At 37.7% G+C, this 22833-nt stretch overlaps 2 annotated features.

The window, feature by feature from the left end:
* Window positions 13850-14349: an enhancer, noted in NCBI's record as "H3K27ac hESC enhancer chr4:97784027-97784526 (GRCh37/hg19 assembly coordinates)". NCBI's record gives its function as "activates a minimal SCP1, AML or CMV promoter by ChIP-STARR-seq in primed H9 embryonic stem cells {active_cell/tissue: H9 hESC(primed)}" and the evidence as "EXISTENCE:reporter gene assay evidence [ECO:0000049][PMID:30033119]".
* Window positions 14350-14851: an enhancer, noted in NCBI's record as "H3K27ac hESC enhancer chr4:97783525-97784026 (GRCh37/hg19 assembly coordinates)". NCBI's record gives its function as "activates a minimal SCP1, AML or CMV promoter by ChIP-STARR-seq in primed H9 embryonic stem cells {active_cell/tissue: H9 hESC(primed)}" and the evidence as "EXISTENCE:reporter gene assay evidence [ECO:0000049][PMID:30033119]".

Genomic DNA, 22833 nt, shown 5'->3' with positions numbered 1-22833 from the left:
ATGGAAACCAGCCCTATTGTCCCATACAGCTAATGTTATGGATTACTTTGAATAAATATAGAAATTGACTCTCTCAGTCCCAAAATGTATAAAATTGCATTTGCCTTATTTGAGTTCCCTTCTCAGGACACCAACTGATATTGTTTGGATGTTGTTCCCTCTAAATCACATGTTGAATTGTAATCCCCAATGTTAGAAGTAGAACCTGGTGGGAGGTGACTGGATCATGAGAATAGGTTTCTCCTAAATGGTTTAGTGCCACTCCCTTGGTGCTGTCCTTGTGATAGCGAGTTCTCATGAGATCTGGTTGTTTAAATGTGTGTGGCACCTCTATCCACTGCCTAGCTTCCTGCTCTTGCTATATAGCGTGCCTGCTCCCACTTTGCCTTCCACCACAAGTAAACGCTCCCGTAGGCCTCCCCAGGAGCCAAGCAGATGCCAGCACCATGCTTCCTGTGCAGCCTGCACAACTCTGAGGCAATAAAACATTTTTTCTTATTAAACTACCCAGTCTTGGGTATGTTTTTATAGCAATGCAAGAATAGCCTAATTCACCAACCATCAGGCCTCCAAGATAGTATCGTGAAACTTGAAGTTTATCAGATCACCACATCTGGTCAAGGACATGCCAAACCCCTCTCCCGTCATGATTGCCTTAAATGCCCACCTGCTTTCTGTTGAAGGCTTCTTAAGCTTCAAAGCTTCTTCCTCACCCCTTCCTAACTTCTGTTTTCACAAACGTGGTGCTTCCCTGCTATTTAAACTCCTAATTTTAGATGGTAGAGGAGATGGATTTGAGATTGATCTTCCATCTCCTTGGCTATAGCACCCAAATAAAGCCTTCTTCCCTGACATGACTTTTTATCTCAGTGATTGGCTTTCTGTGCAATAAGCAATGGGACCTAGAACAAACCCCTAGTGTTTTGGTAGCAAAATCATTGTGAATGTGATTTAGGGCATTACCTGCCAGGAATCCGAGGTAAGTGGTATGGGTAGTATCTACTGATAGAATATATAAGAACTTTGCTGTGTGATTATAAAAAAGGCAATCAATTCTATTCAGGCAGTAAAATAGAGTTGAGGTTCATTAGGTGTAGACATCAATTGATAGGTGCCACAAATCCTTTTAAATTTATCCATTAGAGTGACTATAAGTGACCAAAGTTTCCTTGGTTAACTTGGTATTCAAAAAACACTACAAAAGCAATAGTTTTGATTGAAAAAAATGATGATAATGTCAGGTAAAATAATTGTTAATAATTTTTTTCTGAGTTCATTCACCTGTCCCTTTGTTCATTCATCTATTCATTCCTTCAGTCAGTCAGTCAGTCATATAGCCAACACATCTTTATGGTGATCCTTCTCTTTGCCAGAAGGTATATATGCATACATGGCCCAGTCTACTAGGAGTCAGAGACCAAAGGAAAGACAAATACTAAATCAATAAGATAATAACTAAATGTATAATTATATATTGTGATGAATACTATAAATGATAAGAACAGGGTTCTATAAAATAAACTGAGGATGCCCAAATGAGTTTATAAAGGCAATATTATAGTCATATGCCTATATAATGACATTTTGGTCAATAAGGGACCACATATATGACAGTGGTCCCATAAGTTTAGAATATCCCATTTTTACTATATTTTTTTCTGTTTAAATACTTACCTTGTATCACAACTGCTTATAATATTCAGTGCAGTAACATGCTGTTAAGGTTCATAGCCTAAGAACAATAGGCTATAACATATGGCTATATCATCTAGGTTTGTGTAAGTACACTCTATGATGTTCATGTAATAATAAAATCACAATGCATTTCTCAGAATATATTGCCATTGTTAAGTGACATATGACTGTATGTAGTTTATAAAAAGGCTTTCCTCTGAAGTCTGCTTGGATTTTGCTTTCCATACTTCCTGGGTTTTATTAATTTGCTATAGCACTCACAGAACTCAAGGAAACACTTTATGTATATTTACCCACTTATTATAAAGGATATTACGAAGGAATACAGATGAATAGTCAGATGGAAGAGGTGTGCAGGGTAAGCATGAGGGAAGAGCCGTGAGGCTTCCATTCCTTTTCCAGCAGCATTATCTTGCAGGAACCTCCACATGTTTAGCTACCCAGAATCCCCTGGAATCCAATCCTTTTGGATTTTTATAGAAGTGCCATATGTAGGTATGACTGATTAAATCAATGGCCATTGGTGATCGACTTAACTTTTAGTCTTTCTCCCCTTCCTGGTTTTGGAGGGTGGACCTGAAAGCCCTAAACCTCTAATTTTGCCTTGGTCTTTCTTGTAAATGACCTGCATCCTGAATTCACCCAGGGGCAGCCAGACACCTGTCATCTCATTAGCATACAAATGACACTTAACACTCCTGAGATTCCAAGGGTTTTAGGAGCTGTGTCAGGAAACCTGGGGGAAGACCAAGTATCTATATCTTTATTTATATCTATATCTATATCTATATCTATATCTATATCTATATCTGTATCTATCCATATCTATATGTCACAATATCAGAGCCTCTATAGCAAATTGATATACATTTTATGTTTATCTTTCCAGAAATATTTTATATATTATTCTGTATTTATCCTGGTTTATCCCACATAAAATAAAAAAGGGGTTAAAATTTTTAGTGATACTTTCTTAATGATACAAAAATGTCACTTTTCATACATGGGCTAGCCAAGGATTCACAGGAAGTTTCAATGACAATTTTATTTCTAATTATTACAAGTTAATATAAATCACTCCAAAAAACCCAATGTCTGAATACCTTTGTTTTTTGGCATAAGAGTCTTTTCTTATAAACACCAGCAGAGAATAAGTGTTTTGATTTCATTCTATATAACATAAATTAATAATTGTTCTCCAAAAATTAAATGATCAAGTCATATCAAATTTGCATTACAAAAACTTGCCTTAAGAGGAAAACGTGTTTACTTGAATGTGTGCAACAAACAAAGGAAAAACTGCAAAAACCACCCATTCAGAAACTAACAATTAGGATGTTTTATGCAGTCACTCATGCAAGCTTTGAAATTCACTGTTAATAGGAATTTAATGTAAGGTGCTGGGCCTGTAGAGTCATTTCTTTGGAACCCTAAGTTTTGCTCTGCTAAGGATCTTTGTATACTGATGGTCTCAAATTAGTTTTTCATATCATCCTCCAGTCCCCACACTGGGTATAATTAAGGGGAGCCATTTGTTGCCTAATATGCTTTCTTCTGGAACAATTCTCAATCTGCCAGATCCTCCTGGTGAGTGAGATAGAGAAGCATATTGATTTCTAGGCTGCGTGGCGTAGATTATATACCATAGCTTCGTTTTCTAAAAGGTCTTTGAGTTCCCTGAGTGCCCTGAGCAAGAGACTGTCTTTTAAAAGGCCCAACTTGCTGCTCACTGGGAGTAATACTCTATTATCCAACCAGAGAATTGGTTTGTGCAGTATTTATTTTTAGCATACCCTCAGCTTTTCATTCTCCCAGGGACTGAGAATTTGTGTGAGTGTTGGTTTGTTTGTTTGTTTGTTTTGCTTTGGGTTTTGATTTTTATACACCCTAATCATATATCAGCAAAGTTTGTTAGAACCCCTGTGCAAAGGTAAATGCTTTAAATAGGGCTGTGGTCTTATTCATTTGTTTAGTTGAAATTAATTGCAAAACAAACTATTCAGAGAAAAATGAGGGGAAGGTTTACACATGTAATATATGAGATACGGAACAACAGGGGTCATATTTTTGTATTCCTCACATCACCTACTTAGTGTTTGTTACTTAATAGAATATGAGTATATGCTACAAAACAGTTGACTTGAGCAATGTGGCCGGCCATTAATTCTCCCTTTTCAAATCATATGGGCCATTTTCTTTCACTGGTAACTGAATTTAGCAAAATGTATTGACAACAGGGTTATTTTTTTTTAAAACACCTGTATGAAATAAAAACACAATTATTACAAATATCAGTTTCCTTTACTATATTCTTCTCATCGAAACTAAAGTGAAAAAACAAACAAAAAAATTGAAATTGAAATTCACTTTAACAATACTTTACAGACAAGCAAATGCTGAGAGATTTTGTCACCACCAGGCCTGCCTTACAAGAGCTCCTGAAGGAAGCACTAAACATGGAAAGGAACAACCGGTACCAGCCGCTGCAAAATCATGCCAAAATGTAAAGACCATCGAGACTAGGAAGAAACTGTATCAACTAACGAGCAAAATAACCAGCTAACATCATCATGACAGGATCAAATTCACACATAACAATATTAACTTTAAATGTAAATGGACTAAATGCTCCAATTAAAAGACACAGACTGGCAAATTGGATAAAGAGTCAAGACCCATCAGTGTGCTGTATTCAGGAAACCCATCTCACGTGCAGAGACACACATAGGCTCAAAATAAATTCACTTTAACACCCCACTGTCAACATTAGACAGATCAACGAGACAGAAAGTCAACAAGGATACCCAGGAATTGAACTCAGCTCTGCACCAAGCTGACCTAATAGACATCTACAGAACTCTCCACCCCAAATCAACAGAATATACATTTTTTTCAGCACCACACCACACCTATTCCAAAATTGACCACATACTTGGAAGTAAAGCTCTCCTCAGCAAATGTAAAAGAACAGAAATTATAACAAACTATCTCTCAGTCCACAGTGCAATCAAACTAGAACTCAGGATTAAGAATCTCACTCAAAACCGCTCAACTACATGGAAACTGAACAACCTGCTCCTGAAAGACTACTGGGTACATAACGAAATGAAGGCAGAAATAAAGATGTTCTTTGAAACCAACGAGAACAAAGACACAACATACCAGAATCTCTGGGACACATTGAAAGCAGTGTGTAGAGGGAAATTTATAGCACTAAATGCCCACAAGAGAAAGCAGGAAAGATCCAAAATTGACACCCTAACATCACAATTGAAAGAACTAGAAAAGCAAGAGCAAACACATTCAAAAGCTAGCAGAAGGCAAGAAATAACTAAAATCAGAGCAGAACTGAAGGAAATAGAGACACAAAAAACCCTTCAAAAAATTAATGAATCCAGGAGCTGGTTTTTTGAAAAGATCAACAAAATTGATAGACCGCTAGCAAGACTAATAAAAAAAAGAGAGAAGAATCAAATAGATGCAATAAAAAATGATAAAAGGGATATCACCACCGATCCCACAGAAATACAAACTACCATCAGGGAATACTACAAACACCTCTATGCAAATAAACTAGAAAATCTAGAAGAAATGGATAAATTCCTTGACACATACACTCTCCCAAGACTAAACCAGGAAGAAGTTGAATCTCTGAATAGACCAATAACAGTAGCTGAAATTGTGGCAATAATCAATAGCTTACCAATCAAAAGGAGTCCAGGACCAGATGGATTCACAGCCGAATTCTACCAGAGGTACAAGGAGGAACTGGTACCATTCCTTCTGAAACTATTCCAATCAACAGAAAAAGAGGGAATCCTCCCTAACTCATTTTATGAGGCCAGCATCATTCTGATACCAAAGCCAGACAGAGACACAACAAAAAAAGAGAATATTAGACCAATATCCTTGATGAACATTGATGCAAAAATCCTCAATAAAATACTGGCAAACCGAATCCAGCAGCACATCAAAAAGCTTATCCACCATGATCAAGTGGGCTTCATCTCTGGGATGCAAGGCTGGTTCAATATACGCAAATCAATAAATGTAATCCAGCACATAAACAGAGCCAAAGACAAAAACCACATGATTATCTCAATAGATGCAGAAAAAGCCTTTGACAAAATTCAACAACCCTTCATGCTAAAAACTCTCAATAAATTAGGTATTGATGGGACATATTTCAAAATAATAAGAGCTATCTATGACAAACCCACAGCCAATATCATACTGAATGGGCAAAAACTGGAAGCATTCCCTTTGAAAAATGGCACAAGACAGGGATGCCCTCTCTCACCACTCCTATTCAACATAGTGTTGGAAGTTCTGGCCAGGGCAATTAGGCAGGAGAAGGAAATAAAGGGTATTCAATTAGGAAAAGAGGAAGTTAAATTGTCCCTGTTTGCAGACGACATGATTGTATATCTAGAAAACCCCATTGTCTCAGCCCAAAATCTCCTTAAGCTGATAAGCAACTTCAGCAAAGTCTCAGGATACAAAATCAATGTACAAAAATCACAAGCATTCTTATACACCAACAACAGACAAACAGAGAGCCAAATCATGAGTGAACTCCCATTCACAATTGCTTCAAAGAGCATAAAATACCTAGGAATCCAACTTACAAGGGATGTGAAGGACCTCTTCAAGGAGAACTACAAACCACTGCTCAAGGAAATAAAAGAGGATACAAACAAATGGAAGAACATTCCATGCTCATGGGTAGGAAGAATCAATATCGTGAAAATGGCCATACTGCCCAAGGTAATTTACAGATTCAATGCCATCCCCATCAAGCTACCAATGACTTTCTTCACAGAATTGGAAAAAACTACTTTAAAGTTCATGTGGAACCAAAAAAGAGCCCGCATCGCCAAGTCAATCCTAAGCCAAAAGAACAAAGCTGGAGGCATCACACTACCTGACTTCAAACTATACTACAAGGCTACAGTAACCAAAACAGCATGGTACTGGTACCAAAACAGAGATATAGATCAATGGAACGGAACAGAGCCCTCAGAAATAATGCCACATATCTACAACTATCTGATCTTTGACAAACCTGAGAAAAACAAGCAATGGGGAAAGGATTCCCTATTTAATAAATGGTGCTGGGAAAACTGGCTAGCCATATGTAGAAAGCTGAAACTGGATCCCTTCCTTACACCTTATACAAAAATCAATTCAAGATGCATTAAAAACTTAAACGTTAGACCTAAAACCATAAAAACCCTAGAAGAAAACCTAGGCAATACCATTCAGGACATAGGCATGGGCAAGGACTTCATGTCTAAAACACCAAAAGCAATGACAACAAAAGACAAAATTGACAAATGGGATCTCATTAAACTAAAGAGCTTCTGCACAGCAAAAGAAACTACCATCAGAGTGAACAGGCAACCTACAAAATGGGAGAAAATTTTCGCAACCTACTCATCTGACAAAGGGCTAATATCCAGAATCTACAATGAACTCAAACAAATTTACAAGAAAAAAACAACCCCATCAAAAAGTGGGCGAAGGACATGAACAGACAGTTCTCAAAAGAAGACATTTATGCAGCCAAAAAACACATGAAAAAATGCTCACCATCACTGGCCATCAGAGAAATGCAAATCAAAACCACAATGAGATACCATCTCACACCAGTTAGAATGGTGATCATTAAAAAGTCAGGAAACAACAGGTGCTGGAGAGGATGTGGAGAAATAGGAACACTTTTACACTGTTGGTGGGACTGTCAACTAGTTCAACCATTGTGGAAGTCAGTGTGGCAATTCCTCAGGGATCTAGAACTGGAAATACCATTTGACCCAGCCATCCCATTACTGGGTATATACCCAAAGGACTATAAATCATGCTGCTATAAAGACACATGCACCTGTATGTTTATTGTGGCATTATTCACAATAGCAAAGACTTGGAACCAACCCAAATGTCCAACAATGATAGACTGGATTAAGAAAATGTGGCACATATACACCATGGAATACTATGCAGCCATAAAAAATGATGAGTTCATGTCCTTTGTAGGGACATGGATGAAATTGGAAATCATCATTCTCAGTAAACTATCGCAAGAACAAAAAACCAAACACCGCATATTCTCACTCATAGGTGGGAACTGAACAATGAGATCACATGGACACAGGAAGGGGAATATCACACTCTGGGGACTGTTGTGGGGTGGTGGGAGGGGGGAGGGATAGCATCGGGAGATATACCTAATGCTAGATGACGAGTTAGTGGGTGCAGCGCACCAGCATGGCACATGTATACATATGTAACTAACCTGCACAATGTGCACATGTACCCTAAAACTTAAAAGTATAATAAAAAAATAAATAAAATAAAATAAAATAATCAAGACTGATGACAGAATTCATCTGGGGAGGAGTCTGAGGTCAAATCCTCAAAGAGTGCTATAAGGTTTGCATATGACTGCGGCAAGAAGTGTTGCATGCTGCCTTAGATTTTTCTGGACAGGGTACCAGAATGGGTACTCTTTTTCCCTTTTTTTTTTATTATACTTAAATTCTGGGATACATGTGCAGAACGTGCAAGTTTGTTACACAGGTATACATGTGCCATGGTTGTTTGCTGCACCCATCAACCCATCAACCACATTAGGTATTTCTCCTGATGCTATCCCTCCCCTTGCCCTCTACCCCCTGACAGGCCCTTGTGTGTGATGTTCCCCTCCCTGTGCCCATATGTTCTCATTGTTCAACTCCCACTTATGAGTGAGAACATGCGGCAATTGGTTTTCTGTTTCTGTGTTAGTTTGCTGAGAATGATGGTTTCCAGCTTCATCCGTGTCCCTGCGAAGGACAAGAACTCATTCTTTTTTATGGCTGCATAGTATTCCATGGTATATATGTGCCACATTTTCTTTATCCAGTCTATCATTAATGGGCATTTGGGTAAGTTCCAAGTCTTTTTTATTGTGAATAGTGCTGCAATAAACATATCTGTGCATATGTCTTTATAGTAGAATGATTTATAATCCTTTGGGTATATACCAAGTAATGGGATTGGTGGGTCAAATGGTATTCCCGTTCTGGATGCCTAAGGAATTGTCACAGTGTCTTCCACAATGGTTGAACTAATTTACACTCCCGCCAACAGTGTAAAAGTGTTCCTATTTCTCCACATCCTCTCCAGCATCTGTTGTTTCCTGACTTTTTAATGACTGCCATTCTAACTGGCGTGAGATGGTATCTCATTGTGGTTTTGATTGACATTTTTCTAATGACCAGTGATGATGAGCTTTTTTTCATGTCTTTGATGGCTGCATAAACATCTTCTTTTGAAAAGTGTCTCTTCATATCCTTTGGACAGTTTTTGATGGGGTTGTTTGCTTTTTTCTTGTAAATTTGAATTCCTTGTAGATTCTGGATATTAGCCCGTGGTCAGATGGATAGATTGCAGAAATTTTCTCCCATTCTCTAGGTTGCCTGGTCATTCTGATGGTAGTTTCTTTTGCTGTGCAGAAGCTCTTTAGTTTAATTAGATCTCATTTGTCAATTTTGGCTTTTGTTGCCATTGCTTTTGGTGTTTTAGTCATGAAGTCTTTGCCCATACCTATGTCCTGAATGATATTGCCTAGATTTTCTTCCAGGGCTTTTATGGCCTTAGGTCTTACATTTAAATCTTTAACCCATCTTGAGTTAATTTTTGTATAAGGATTATGGAAGGGGTCCAGTTACAGTTTTCTGCCTATGGCTAGCCAGTTTTCCCAACACCTTTTATTCAATAGGGAATCATTTCCCCCTTGCTTGTTTTTGTCAGATTTGTCAAACAACAGATGGTTGTAGAAGTGTGGTGTTATTTCTGAGGCATCTATTCTGTTCCATTGGTCTATATATCTGTTTTGGTACAAGTACCAAGCTGTTTTGGTTACTGTAGCTTTGTAGTATAGTTTGAAGTCAAGTAGTGAGATGCCTCCAGCTTTGTTCTTTTTGCTTTACTATTGTCTTGGCAATATGGGCTCTTTTTTGGTTACATATGTAATTTAAAGTAGTTTTTTGTAATTCTGTGAAGAAAGTCAATGGCAGCTTGATGGGAATAGCGTTGAATCTATAAATTACTTTGGGCAGTATGGCCATTTTTATGATATTGATTCTTCCTATCCATGAGCATGGAATGTTTTTCCATTTGTTTGTGTCCTGTCTTATTTCCTTGAGCTGTGGTTTGTAGTTGTCCTTGAAGAGGTCCTTCACATCCCTTATAAGTTGTATTCCTAGGTATTTTATTCTCTTTGTAGAAATTGTGAATGGGAGTTCACTCATGATTTGGCTCTCTGTTTGTCTATTATTGGTGTATAGGAATGCTTGAGATTTTTGCACATTGATTTTGTATTCTGAGACTTTGCTGAAGTTGCTTATCAGCTTAAGGAGATTTTGGCCTGAGACGATGGGGTTCTCTAAATATACAATCATGTCATCTGCAAACAGATAATTTGACATCCTCTCTTCCTATTTGAATAAACTTTATTTCTTTCTCTTGCCTGATTGCCCTGGCCAGAGCTTCCAACACTGTGTTGAACAGGAGTGATGAGAGAGGGCATCTTTGTCCTGTGCCAGTTTTCAGAGGGAATGAATGTGTCCAGCTTTTGCCCATTCAGTATGATGTGGGCTGTGGGTTGTCATAAATAGCTCTTATTATTTTGAGATGCGTTTCATCAAAACCTAGTTTATTGAGTGTTTTTAGCATGAAGTGGTGTTGAATTTTATTGAAGGCCTTTTCTGCACATTGAGATAATCATGTTGTTTTTGTCCTTGTTTCTGTTTATGTGATGGATTATGTTTATTGATTTGCATATGTTGAACCAGCCTTGCATTCCAGGGATGAAGCCGACTTGATAGTGGTGGAGAAGTATTTTAATGTGCTGCTGGGTCTGGTTTGCCAATATTTTATCAAGGATTTTCGCATTGATGTTCATCAGGGATATTGGCCTGAAATTTTCTGCTTTTGTTGTGTCTCTCCAAGGTTTTGGTATCAATTTGATGCTGGCCTCACAAAAAGAGTTAAGGAGGACTCCCTCTTTTTCTACTGCTTGGAATAGTTTTAGAAGGAATCTTACCAACTCCTCTTTGTACCTCTGGTAGAATTTGGCTGTGAATCCATCTGGTCCTGGTCTTTTTTTTTGTTTGGTAAGCTGTTAATTACTGCCTCAATTTCAGAACTTGTTATTCATCTATTCAGGGATTCGACTTCTTCCTCGTTTAGTCTTGGGAGGGTGTATGTGTCCAGGAATTTATCCAATTTTTCTAGATTTTCTAGTTTATTTGTGTAGAGGTGCTTATAGTCTTCTCTGATGGTAGTTTGTATTTCTGTGGGATCAGTGGTGATATCCCCTTTATCATTTTTTATTGTGTCTATTTGATTCTTCTCTCTTATCTTCTTTATTAGTCTGGCTAGCAGTCTATCTATTTTGTTAATCTTTTCAAAAAACCAGCTCCTGGATTCATTGATTTTTTGAAGGGTTTTTCTTGTCTGTATCTCCTTCAGTTCTGCTCTGATCTTAGTTATTTCTTGTCTTCTGCTCGCTTTTGAATTTGTTTACTCTTAGTTCTCTAGTTCTTTTCATTGTACTGTTAGGGTGTCAATTTTAGATCTTTCCTGCTTTCTCCTGTGGGCATTTAGTGCTATAAATTTCCCTCTAAACACTGCTTTAGCTGTGTCCCACAGATTCTGGTGCATTGTGTGTTTGTTCTCATTGGTTTCAAAGAACTTTTTTATTTCTGGCTTAATTTTATTATTTATCCAGTAGTCATTCAGGAGCAGGTTGTTCAGTTCCCATGTAGTTGTGCAGTTTTGAGTAAGTTTCTTAATACTGGGTTCTAATTTGATTTCACTGTGGTCTGAGAGAATGTTTATTATGATTTCCATTCTTTTGCATTTGCTGAGGAGTGTTTTACTTCCAATTATGTTGTCAATTTTAGAATAAGTGCAATGTGTTGCTGAGAAGAATGTATATTCTGCAGTCCTGGGGTGGAGAGCTGTGTAGTTGTCAATTAGGTCTGCTTGTTCCAGAGCTGAGTTTAAGTCCTGAATATCCTTGTTAATTTTTTGTCTCATTGATATGTCTAATATTGACAGGGGGCTGTTAAAGTCTCCCACCATTATTGTGTGGGAGTCTAAGTCTCTTTGTAGGTCTCTAAGAACTTGCTTTATGAATCTGGGTACTCCTGTATTGGGTGCATATATATTGAGGATAGTTGCATTGATCCCTTCACTATTATGTAATGCCCTTCTTTATCTTTTTTAATCTTTGTTGGTTTAAATTCTGTTTTATCAGAGACTAGCATTGTAACCCCTGCTTTTTTTTTCTTTCCATTTGCTTGGTAAATCTCCCTCCATCCCTTTATTTTGAGCCTATGTGTGTCTTTGCATATGAGATGGGTCTCCTGAATACAGCACCCCAATGGTTCTTTACTCTTTATCCAATTTTCCAGTCTGTATCTTTTAATTGGGGTATGTAGCCATTTACATTTAAGGTTAATTTTGTTATGTGTGAATTTCATCCTGTCATTATGATGCTAGCTGGTTATTTTGCCCATTAGTTGATGCCGTTTCTTCATAGTGTCGATGGTCTTTACATTTTGGTATGTTTTTGCAGTGGCTGGTACTGGTTTTTCCTTTCCATATGTAGTGCTTTCTTTAAGAGCTCTTGTAATGCAGGCCTGGTGGTGACAAAATACCTCAACACTTGTTTGTCTGTAAAGGACTTTATTTCTCCTTCACTTATGAAGCTTAGTTTGGCTGGATATGAAATTCTGGGTAGAAAATTCTTTTCTTAAGGAATGTTGAATATTGGTCCTCACTCTCTTCTGGCTTGTAGGGTTTCTGCAGACAGATCCACTATTAGCCTGATGGGCTTCCCTTTGTGGGTAACTCGACCTTTCTCTCTGGCTGCCCTTAACATTTTTTCCTTCATTTCTACCTTGGTGAATCTGACAATTATGTGTCTTAGGGTTGCTCTTCTCGAGGAGTATCTTTGTGATGTTCTCTGTATTTCATGAATTTGAATGTTGGTCTGTCTTGCTAAGTTGGGGAAGTTCTCCTGGATAATATCCTGCAGAGTGTTTTCCAACTTGGTTCCATTATCCCGGTCACTTTCAGGTACACCAATCAAATGTGGGTTTGGTCTTTTCACATGGTCCCATATTTCTTGGAGGGTTTGTTTGTTCCTTTGCATTATTTTTTCTCTACTCTTGTCTTCACACTTTATTTCATTAAGTTGATCTTCAATCTCTGATATCCTTTCTTCTACTTGATTGACTCAGCTATTGATACTTGTGTATGCTTCACAAAGTTCTCATGCTGTGTTTTTCAGCTCCATCAGGTCATTCATGTTCTTCTCTAAACTGGTTATTCTAGTTGGAATTTCCTGTAACTTTTTATCAAGGTTCTTAGCTTCCTTGCATTGAGTTAGAACATGATCATTTAGCTCAGAGGAGTTTGTTATTAACCACCTTCTGAAGCCTACTTCTGTGAATTCATCAAAATCATTCTCCATCCAGTTTTGTTCCCTTGCTGGCAAGGAGTTATGATCCTTTGGAGGAGAGAAGGCATTCTGGTTTTTGGAATTTTTGGCCTTTTGGCACTGTTTTTTCCTTACCTTTGTGGAATTACCTACCTTTGGTCTTTGATGTTAATGATCTTTGGATGGGGTTTTTGAGTGGTTGTCCTTTTGTGGATTTTGATTCTATTGCTTCCTGTTTGTTAGTTTTCCCTCTAACAGCCAGGCCTCTCTTCTGTAGGTCTGCTGGAGTTTGCTGGAGGTCCACTCCAGACCCTGTTTTCCTGGGTATCACCAGTGGAGGCTGCAGAACAGAAAAGATTGCTGCCTGCTCCTTCCTCTGGAAGCTTCATCACAGAGGGGCATCTGCCAGATGCCAGCCGAAGATATCCTATATTAGGTATCTATTGGCCCCTCCTGGGAGGTGTCTCCTAGTCAAGAAGCATGGGGGTCAGGGGCCCACTTGAGGAGGCAGTCTGTCCCTTAGCAGAGCTCGAGCACTGTGCTGGGAGGCCTGCTGCTCTCTTCAGAGCTAGCAGGCAGGAACATTTAAGTCTGCTGAAGCTGTACCCACAGCAGCCCCTTGCCCCAGGTGCTCTGTCCCAGGGATATGGGAGTTTTATCTATAAGCCCCTGATTGGGGCTACTGCCTTTCTTTCAGAGATGCCCTGTTAAGAGAGGAGGAGTCTAGAGTGGCAGTCTGGCTATAGGGGCTTTGTGTCACTGCAGTGGGCTCCACCAAGTCCAAACTTCCTGGTGGCTTTGTTTAGGTTGAAAACCACCTACTCAAGCCTCAGTAATGGTGGGTGACCCTCCCTCTACCAAGCTTGAGTGCCCCAGGTGGACTTCAGACTGCTGTGCTGGCAGCGAGAATTTCAAGTCAGTGGATCTTAGCTAGCTCGGCTCTGTGGGGGTGGGATCCACTGAGCTAGACCACTTGGCTCCCTGGCTTCAGCCCCCTTTCCAGGGGAGTGAAGGGCTCTGTCTCGCTGGCGTTTCAGGTGCCACTGTGGTATGAAAAAAAACAAAAACAAAAACAAAAAACAACCGAGTCCTGCAGCTAGCTCAGTGTCTGCCCAAATGCCCACCCAGCTTTGTGCTTGAAACCCCAGGCCCTGGTGGTGTAGTCACCTGAGGGAATCTCCTGGTTTGTGGGTTGTGAAGACAGTGGGAAAAGTGTAGTATCTGGGCAGGATAGCTCTGTTTTTCACAGCACAGTCCGTTACAGCTTCCCTTGGCTAGAAGAGGGAGTTTCCCCACCCTTGTGCTTCCCAGGTAAGGCAATGCCCCACCCTGCTTCTGCTCACCTTTTGTGGGCTGCACCCACTGTCTAACCAGCTCCAGTGAGATGAGCCAAGTACCTCAGTTGAAAATGCAGAAATCACCCACCTTCTGCATTGGTCTTGCTGGGAGCTGTAGACCGGAGCTGTAGACTGGAGCTGTTCCTATTCGGCCATATTGCCCAGGATATCCAGAGTGGGTAATTTATATGATTTACCCAGAGTGGGTAATTAATAATGATACCATAGACTGTGTAGCTTATGATCACAGAATTTTGTTTTTCACAGTTTTATAGGCTGAGAAGTCCAAGATCAAGATGCCTTGAGATTCAGTGTCTGTCTGGTGAGGGCCCACATCCTGTTCATAGAATTGCCCCTTCATGCTGTGTTTTCACAATTCACATATGATGGAAAAGGCAAATAAGCTCCCTAAGACCTTTCCTTGTAATAGCACTATCCCAGTCATTAAGGCTCTACCCTTATGTTCTAACCACTCTCCAAAGACCTTGCCTTTTAATATCATCACCTTCGGAGTTAGGATTTCAACCTATGAATTTGGGGGGAACACAAACATTTGGACTATATGAAGTAGCATTTTAATGAAGATGAAGAGACAATGATATCAGATTGATAATGAGAAGCAAAGAGGTCATCAACCCTACCTCTAGTCACAGTAGTACCTATGATGTAGAAAGGAAAGAAAATAACACCAGAAAGCAGTGTGCTCAGTTAAGGGGGCTTGGTTTCTTGAGCAGCTTGTTTCTTGGAAACAAAACTGATGCTACACACATAGGCTAGGGTGGTCCTACAAAGTGCTCATGGTAATCTGTCCCCCTTCAATCTTGAAGTGGACAGTATTATGGCTGTGGTTGTCCTTGGAAAAACTGTGTGAAAAACAGAAGGCTTCCCACTCAGCACCATGAAAGTTTCCTGTTAGCATCTTCTTTGTGCCCATATAATGCAGCAGGTTTGCAACACACACATATCTAGTGATGGGTTAACCTTGTTAACAGCCATGTGGATTCTCCTTCTGTGGAGCAAGAATGCTTTTATTTACCTCTTTTATTTACCCAAGTACCTAAAGAAGAGTCTTCCCTCTGCCTTATCCCCTCTCTCAAATCAATCACCAAGTCCTTAACAGTCTCTAAGACTGTTATTTCTTTTTTGAGTTTGCCATTTCCTCTGTCTTGGCATTCAGACCACTCTCATTTGTCTTTGGTATTATTACAACTTTCCTGCAGCATCCAAGCTTGTCTCCCTACCTTCAGTCTTCAAGCCTCTAATCCTTTTACACTAAGGTGTGAAACTGATGCTATCATTTCCAAATTAAAAATGCTTAATAGCTCTCTCATGCTTCCAAGATAAAGTTCAGCCTTTTGCCACAACTTCCAATACCCTCGTGATCTGGCTTGCTTATTATCAATCCTCACTACTACCTTTGCTACTTTCGACCTTGTACTCTCAATTAGCTATACTGGACAACTGGAATTTCTTCAGTACACCATGCTGTGTACACCGTTGCACATGATTTGCCCTCTGCTTGGACCTAGTAACCTCCTACTACTCATTCTTGGGTCTCGACTCAGATTCAACTTCCTCTGAGAAGCCCTCCACGATAACACAATGGATGACTTTTTCTATTTCCAGAGTCCTCTATTCTTATTCTGCTCACAGCACTTAACAGTTAGACTTGAAATGGTCTGTTTTTATATCTGTCTTGTCTACTAAAACAAGTTCTTTGGCAAAAATTATGTTTAGTTTCCCTCATTGTTAGTATCTGAGGGACTAGTATAGTATGAGGCATGCATTACAAAGTCAGGGATAAACAGCACCAGTAAAGGGAAAGAACTTTAACCAATGAAAATAAAGAGCAGCTCTGATTATGTATGAGAATGTCCTCTGCCTACCCACCCACATAGACATTTCTAGAGATTTACAGATAAGAAAAGATGTAGTCCTTTCTCTTGGCATGAATAAAAGTTCTTTTCAACAGATTTAGGAACAATTTGTATATCCAATACCATGTAAGACCCTCTTAAATTAGAGCCCAGGGAACATTTGGGTAAAGGCAATTTTACGCAGTGGACAAGTTAGGTCTTTTAGCCATCCAACTTTTGCTCCAGTTTGACGATTGTTCTCTCTCAATGCCTTTGTTGACATCTATATATTAGATCATTAAAAAATGTATGCATACATGAACCCTGATTGAGGACATAGCTTTATGTCTTTCTTTCCCAGGGCTTCGTCCACCTCTATCTAATTAAGAAGTAGAGCTATAGCATTCTATTATATTCAAGGTGGCATTATTTCTTAATTGCATATAGAAGACTTCTAGGGACATCACAATTGGTCAGCCAGGATATCTTTTTATTTATTCAAAAAAACAAATTTTGAGCTTCTGTTATATGCCAGGCTTTGGGGATACAACAGTAAAAACCATAAGCCAGGTAACTGTTCTCCTACCAATTATAAACTAGGAGGAGAGGCAGCAATGAACAAGTGAAAGTATGATGTGTTCATTGAAGGAGTAAAACAGAGTGCTACAAATGCACACCCGGAATTTGGGAAAGGCTTTTCTAAGGAAATGATATGAAGCTGTAGCAGATGAATGAACTGGTTAAAAACTGAAGTTCTTTTAGAAGGCCCTGCTTTCTTGAAGCCTCATGAAGGAACCTTCCCTCCTGCCAGTAGGGCTGCTGCTTTTTCTTGCTAGTCCTGTAGTCACAGTCACCTGAATTATGGCTCTTATTGCTACCAGAGTTGTGAGAGCTGCTGCAATGATGCAGCTTAAAAGCTCCAAAACTGTTTTTTCTTCCGAAAAAACTCAATGAAAGGAAATTGCTATGGCAAAAATGGTGACACTGAAAAACTAACTGCTACCATCCACACTGAAGCCATCTCATCACATCCCAATACCACCGTTCTGTAGTCACTAGCACCACCCATTGTATAGGCTTACTTACAGCATACCAATGCAGTACCACTGCATTGAAAATAACCCATTTATCCTATGTCTTGTGCCCATTTATTTCATCGCCCTTGCATCCCGCAGAAAGTATTATGTGAACTATTTTCTAAGTTATTTTCGTTTTGTAATTGAAGATCTTCCCGGGAAGACTAAGCTGTGGGCCCATGGAGATGGCAGCAGGTGTATAAGACATGTCTGTGTAGCAGATGCCATGTTGTACTCAACATTGCTCTTCATTTAATCATAGACACTGTAATTGGACCAAGCTTTTGATGCCACCTCCTTTCACTTAGGATTTATAAGGATATTTACATTGGACTCAACTAATTCTAATCTTCAAAAGTTGTACTGGAAATGCTTGATACTGTAGTTGTCATACTACAGAGAAACAAATTACCAAAGCCATATTAATGAAGAACAAGTTATTATTCATTACTATTGTACCACATAGGCATTAATATGGTTTGGCTCTGTGTCCCCAACCAAATGTCATCTCAAATGTAATCTTCATAATACCCATGTATCGAGGAAGAGACCAGGTAGGAGGTGATTGGATCATGGGGGTGGTTTCCCCCATGTTGTTCTTGTGAGTTCTCATGAGATCTGACGGTTTTATAAGGCAGTTTTCCCTGCTCTTGCTCACTCTCTCCTGCTGCCTTGTGAAGAAGGTCCTTGCTTTCCCTTTGCCATCTTCCATGATTGTAAGTTTCCTGAGGCCTCCCCAACTGTGCAGATCTGTGAGTCATTTAAAACTCTTTCCTTTATAAATTACCAAGCCTTGGGTATTTTTTTATAGAGTATGAGAACAGACTAATACAGTCATCTTTATTTAAATGTAGATGATAGACACCCTATAAATACAAAGATTTGTAAAAGAGGCAAGCCGCCAAGACCATGCATTCAGAAACACATTTAGAAGATGCCTTTTTAGTAAATGTAAATGCATTTCTGCTTAGCAGATTCGACCTAGGAAATGATGAAGCCTTTGTGAAATAGTTTAAAGAGATTTTCATATACTAATCAGCTAAATATATTCAACATCCGGATAATTATTATTTAGAAGCATTCAGATCTGACTGGCTCATTGAAAATTTTGTCACATAAATGTGAAATAACAAATTTACTACCTAAAGCTATTCATTCCTAAATTTTGCATGCATTAATGTCATTATATCACCTCCTGTCTGGTATAGTAAAATGGGTAGTTTTTTTTCTATTATTGTTACTAAGAATTGTCTCTCCTACAGCATGCTTTGCCAACACTTTGTTATTGCTTTTCCTGGATGAGACATATTTTCTGAGAAAGAGTCAAGTTTTTTTGAATTTTGTCATAAAATAAAAATATGTATTAGGTACAGAAAAGATTATTCCTGATCCAAATTTCTGTATTGTGGGTGCTCAGGTCAGTGGTCAGTGGACTATACAAAGAATAAACTGATGCAATAGATAAACTGGGTAATTGCTCAGTGTATTGACTTTATATCTCATAAACCTATGGATCTCTAAAGTTGATATGCCATAAACTTGTACTTACTTGAACTGTTCCTACTGAGCCCTCTCATTGACCACAGTAAAGGTCCTTTTGTAGCCCACCCAAGATTGACTCAGATTAGATAAGATCCAGAAGACTGGATAAGAAATATTTACCAACATATCTCACATCCTACTCCTACCTCAAATGCTTCCAAAATGAATTTCTTATTACCATATTTCTTTCCTTAATTAATTTTCTATACTATTTATTTTGAATCATTTTCCCAGTTAGTATGTTTTGGGTTATTTGCAGCTATTCTACAATATAATAAATTCCGTAATTTCAACAATTTGATTTGTGATCCTTTATTCTTAACATCTTACTTAAAACAATGAATAAAAATCAAAATTTACATTTGAGTTGTTGTGAATTAGGTAATACATTCAGTGCTGTTAGGAAAAATGATGCTGTGATTCGTGAAGCAATAGTGAATTTTAAAAAATTTAATTTACTTTATCTCTTTAGAGTGTTTAAGAATACAAATATAAGGCAGTAAATGAAAGAAAACTCATAGTTTATTTTATCAGAAGAAAAAGGGTTGTCTATCTTAATCATAGCTCTTGTGATTAAGCCATTCAAATTAACCTGAAGAAGAAAAAAACAGAGAAGTAGAAGATGTGTGAAAATGAGATGGGAATTTAGTGTAAGGCTATTGGGCTATTTCATGGAATCTGAAGAAAGACATATATTTAAACTGCTTCAGGAACTGAACCTCATTATCATTAATTTTATTTTTAGGACCTTGCTTTCTCCCTGTCTTTGTGGGACATGAGAAGTTGTTGTCTTTGATTTTTATTACATGTTTGTTTGGTTCCTTGATTCAAGTCTCCTTTTACTCTGAAATCAGCATTTTCTTTATTCACAAGAGTAACCAAGGGAAACTAGATTTTGGAACCAACCTGCAGATCTAAAGAGAGAAGACCTGGTGAATCTTGCCTGAATCCAGTGCCCATTTCTGGCCCAATAAACAATGACCAGAGGTCAGTTTTACATAGTGCACACATGATTAGAAGTGGTCTGACCATATGGGATAGGAAAAAAATTTTCAGGAAAATAAAATAGATAATAGATTGAGTGAACCTCACAAGATGTCTCCTCTGTTGCTACAACATAATTTTTCAGAGGGAAATTTAAAATATCCATGTTAATGAGCCCTTGCTAATAATGGCTCTAATTAAGACCTTCTTTCAGAAAATGATTTTTTCACAAGTGGGAGATCACCTTGTAAGGAAAGAAGCCATCTTCTTGTATCTTGATTATAACTAACTATGATCTGGTTAACTACTGTTTTTTTTTATGGTAAATTTTGAAAAGTTCTATACTACAATTATGTTAGTCAAAGTTCTCTAGAAAAAGAAAACCAATAGGATGGATTAATGGATAGATAGAGATATGGATAGATGGATGGATGGATAGATAGATGGATACATAGATGATAGGTAGGTAGATAGATAGATAGATCTATTTTAAGGAATTGGCTTGTGCAATTTGTGAGTTCTGGCAACTGGAAAGTCTAAAACCTGTATGGCAAGCTGGCAGGCTGGAGATTCAGGTAAAACTTGAAATTGTAGTCTTGTGTCTGAAAGCCAGAAACTCAAGTAGAATTTCTATGTTGCAGAAGAGAAGCAGGATCCATTCTTTTTCAGGAAACCTCAGTCTTTTCTCTTAAGTACTTCAATTTATCGGATGAGACCTATGCACATTATGAGGGATAATCTGCTTTATTTAAAGTCAACTGATTGTAAATGTTAATCACATCTTTTTATAACAAAATCTAAATGAAGTTTGACTAAACACCTGTCACTATGGTGTAGTAAGTTGTCACATAAAATTAATTATCACAGTCACTAAGTATTCTTGTTTTTTTATATTAATGCTGAGCTGCTAACTACTTAAAGCTCTAGAAGAAAAGCCTATGTTGTCTTTTTCATCTTCTTATGATTATATTTTCTAGCATTTTAGTATCCAGTCTGCTTCTATATTGTTATTTAAGAATGACAAGACAGACAGAAATGCACTTGTATATGTTTTCTTTTACAATTCTTTTTTTTTTTTTAATACTTTAAGTTTTAGGGTACATGTGCACATTGTGCAGGTTAGTTACATATGTATACATGTGCCATGCTGGTGCGCTGCACCCACTAACGCGTCATCTAGCATTAGGTATATCTCCCAATTCTTTAAAAAATTTCAAGTTTGGAATTTCGTCATTAGCAAATTGTTTTCATATTCTTTCAACAAATGAAATTTACATCATTACAAGATATGTGACAATGTTAGGAAAAAGATGTTTTAGGATTGCAAGAAATTAAATAACTCCTATTTTTATTGTTACAAATGGCCAAGTCAAAAAAAGAAGATAAAGCACCTCGAGCTATAGAGAGTGTTGTGAATAAATTCTAATGCAAGTCAAATATTGATGAAAATGAGAATGCATGAGAAAAGAGAAAGTTCACAGGAGATCTGAAACAATTAGATGAGAAACTAAAACTCTTCTGAAGAAACTAAGGACATCAACAAACTAGCAAAACAGAATGACAGAATAACTGAGAAATGAAGAGAATTCAAAATAACTAAATTTGGGAAATGAATAAAAGGTTGCAGATTCATTATGTCAAATTTATTTACAAAATTCAAAGGCTAAGCAGAACTAGGTTTTAAAAGCTGAGGGTTCAAATACAATTTTCATTAAACTTAATTTAACGATGCAAATTATTTAATCTCAATTTTAACTCATCATCTTAAAACAACTTATATTTGGCAGTGATTGATGTGGTTCTAGTAAACAAATGGATATTGGGCCCTGGATTTAAATTTATAATCACAAGTCAATTACCCAAAATCTACATCTTATCAAGTACATGAAATGTTTTTATCTATAATATAGAGCTGTATCTTTTATATTTGTTAAAGAGAATGAATAAAGTATTATAAAGTTCTCAAGCCCAGGTTACCTTATGTTGTTTAGAAAGACATCCTTCTATTTGTTGTCACCACTATTAATGCATGCTGCCAGCTAACACACCCTAAATTTAACTGAACTGTGTAACTCAGAATGAGAACATTCCTACTCATGCTACATGCTGGTAAGTTCTGGAGCTGAGTTGCCAAAAGACTCAATCCATCTATTCAAATACCCAGAATATTCATTTTCTTAAAATACTTAGATTAGTATTTATTACATTCTAATGTGGAATTTCTGGTAACTTTTTTTCTGGTAGTTCATACTCTACACTCCAACATAAGGCTATAAAAAGGAGATTAAAAAAACAGACTACATATTATTCAATTTTATCTCCAAACAAGGGAAGATCAAGCTCTGTGGGCAGAAAACCTTGTTGTATGTTTAAGGAACTATGCACACAGAGCACACATGAGTAGAATTTGGTGTACTAATCAAATAAAAGACATAAAATGTTAATGAAACATTTAATGGTCTACATAATCATTATTGTACAGCATAGTAATTAGGTATAAAATTGTAAGAAACTCATTGAAAGTCAATAATCATACTGTTCTTTTGTGATGGTCTGAGTTCAAACAGTGTCTTCACAGCCTCTTCTTGTAGTGACAGGAGAAGATTCTACTCAAGTAGTATTGGGAGTTCTGGTCATTCATCTTATCAAAACAGTTCATAGTCAGATCAGCTGAAGGAAAGGAAAGAGGATTCAAGAAAAGGGGTAAGAAAACTATTTCATAAGGAATTAGTACATGTAAATGAAAGATACACTATTTGAGATTAGTTTTCTGTTTTTTTTAAATAATTTTTAACATGGTCATTTTGGTTGTTTTCCAGAATATAAATAAAGCTAATTTAATACTTTTC

Source organism: Homo sapiens, chromosome 4 (genome assembly GCF_000001405.40).
Source record: "Homo sapiens chromosome 4, GRCh38.p14 Primary Assembly".
Taxonomy (NCBI): domain Eukaryota; kingdom Metazoa; phylum Chordata; class Mammalia; order Primates; family Hominidae; genus Homo; species Homo sapiens.
This window is presented reverse-complemented; position numbering and strand designations above follow the sequence as displayed.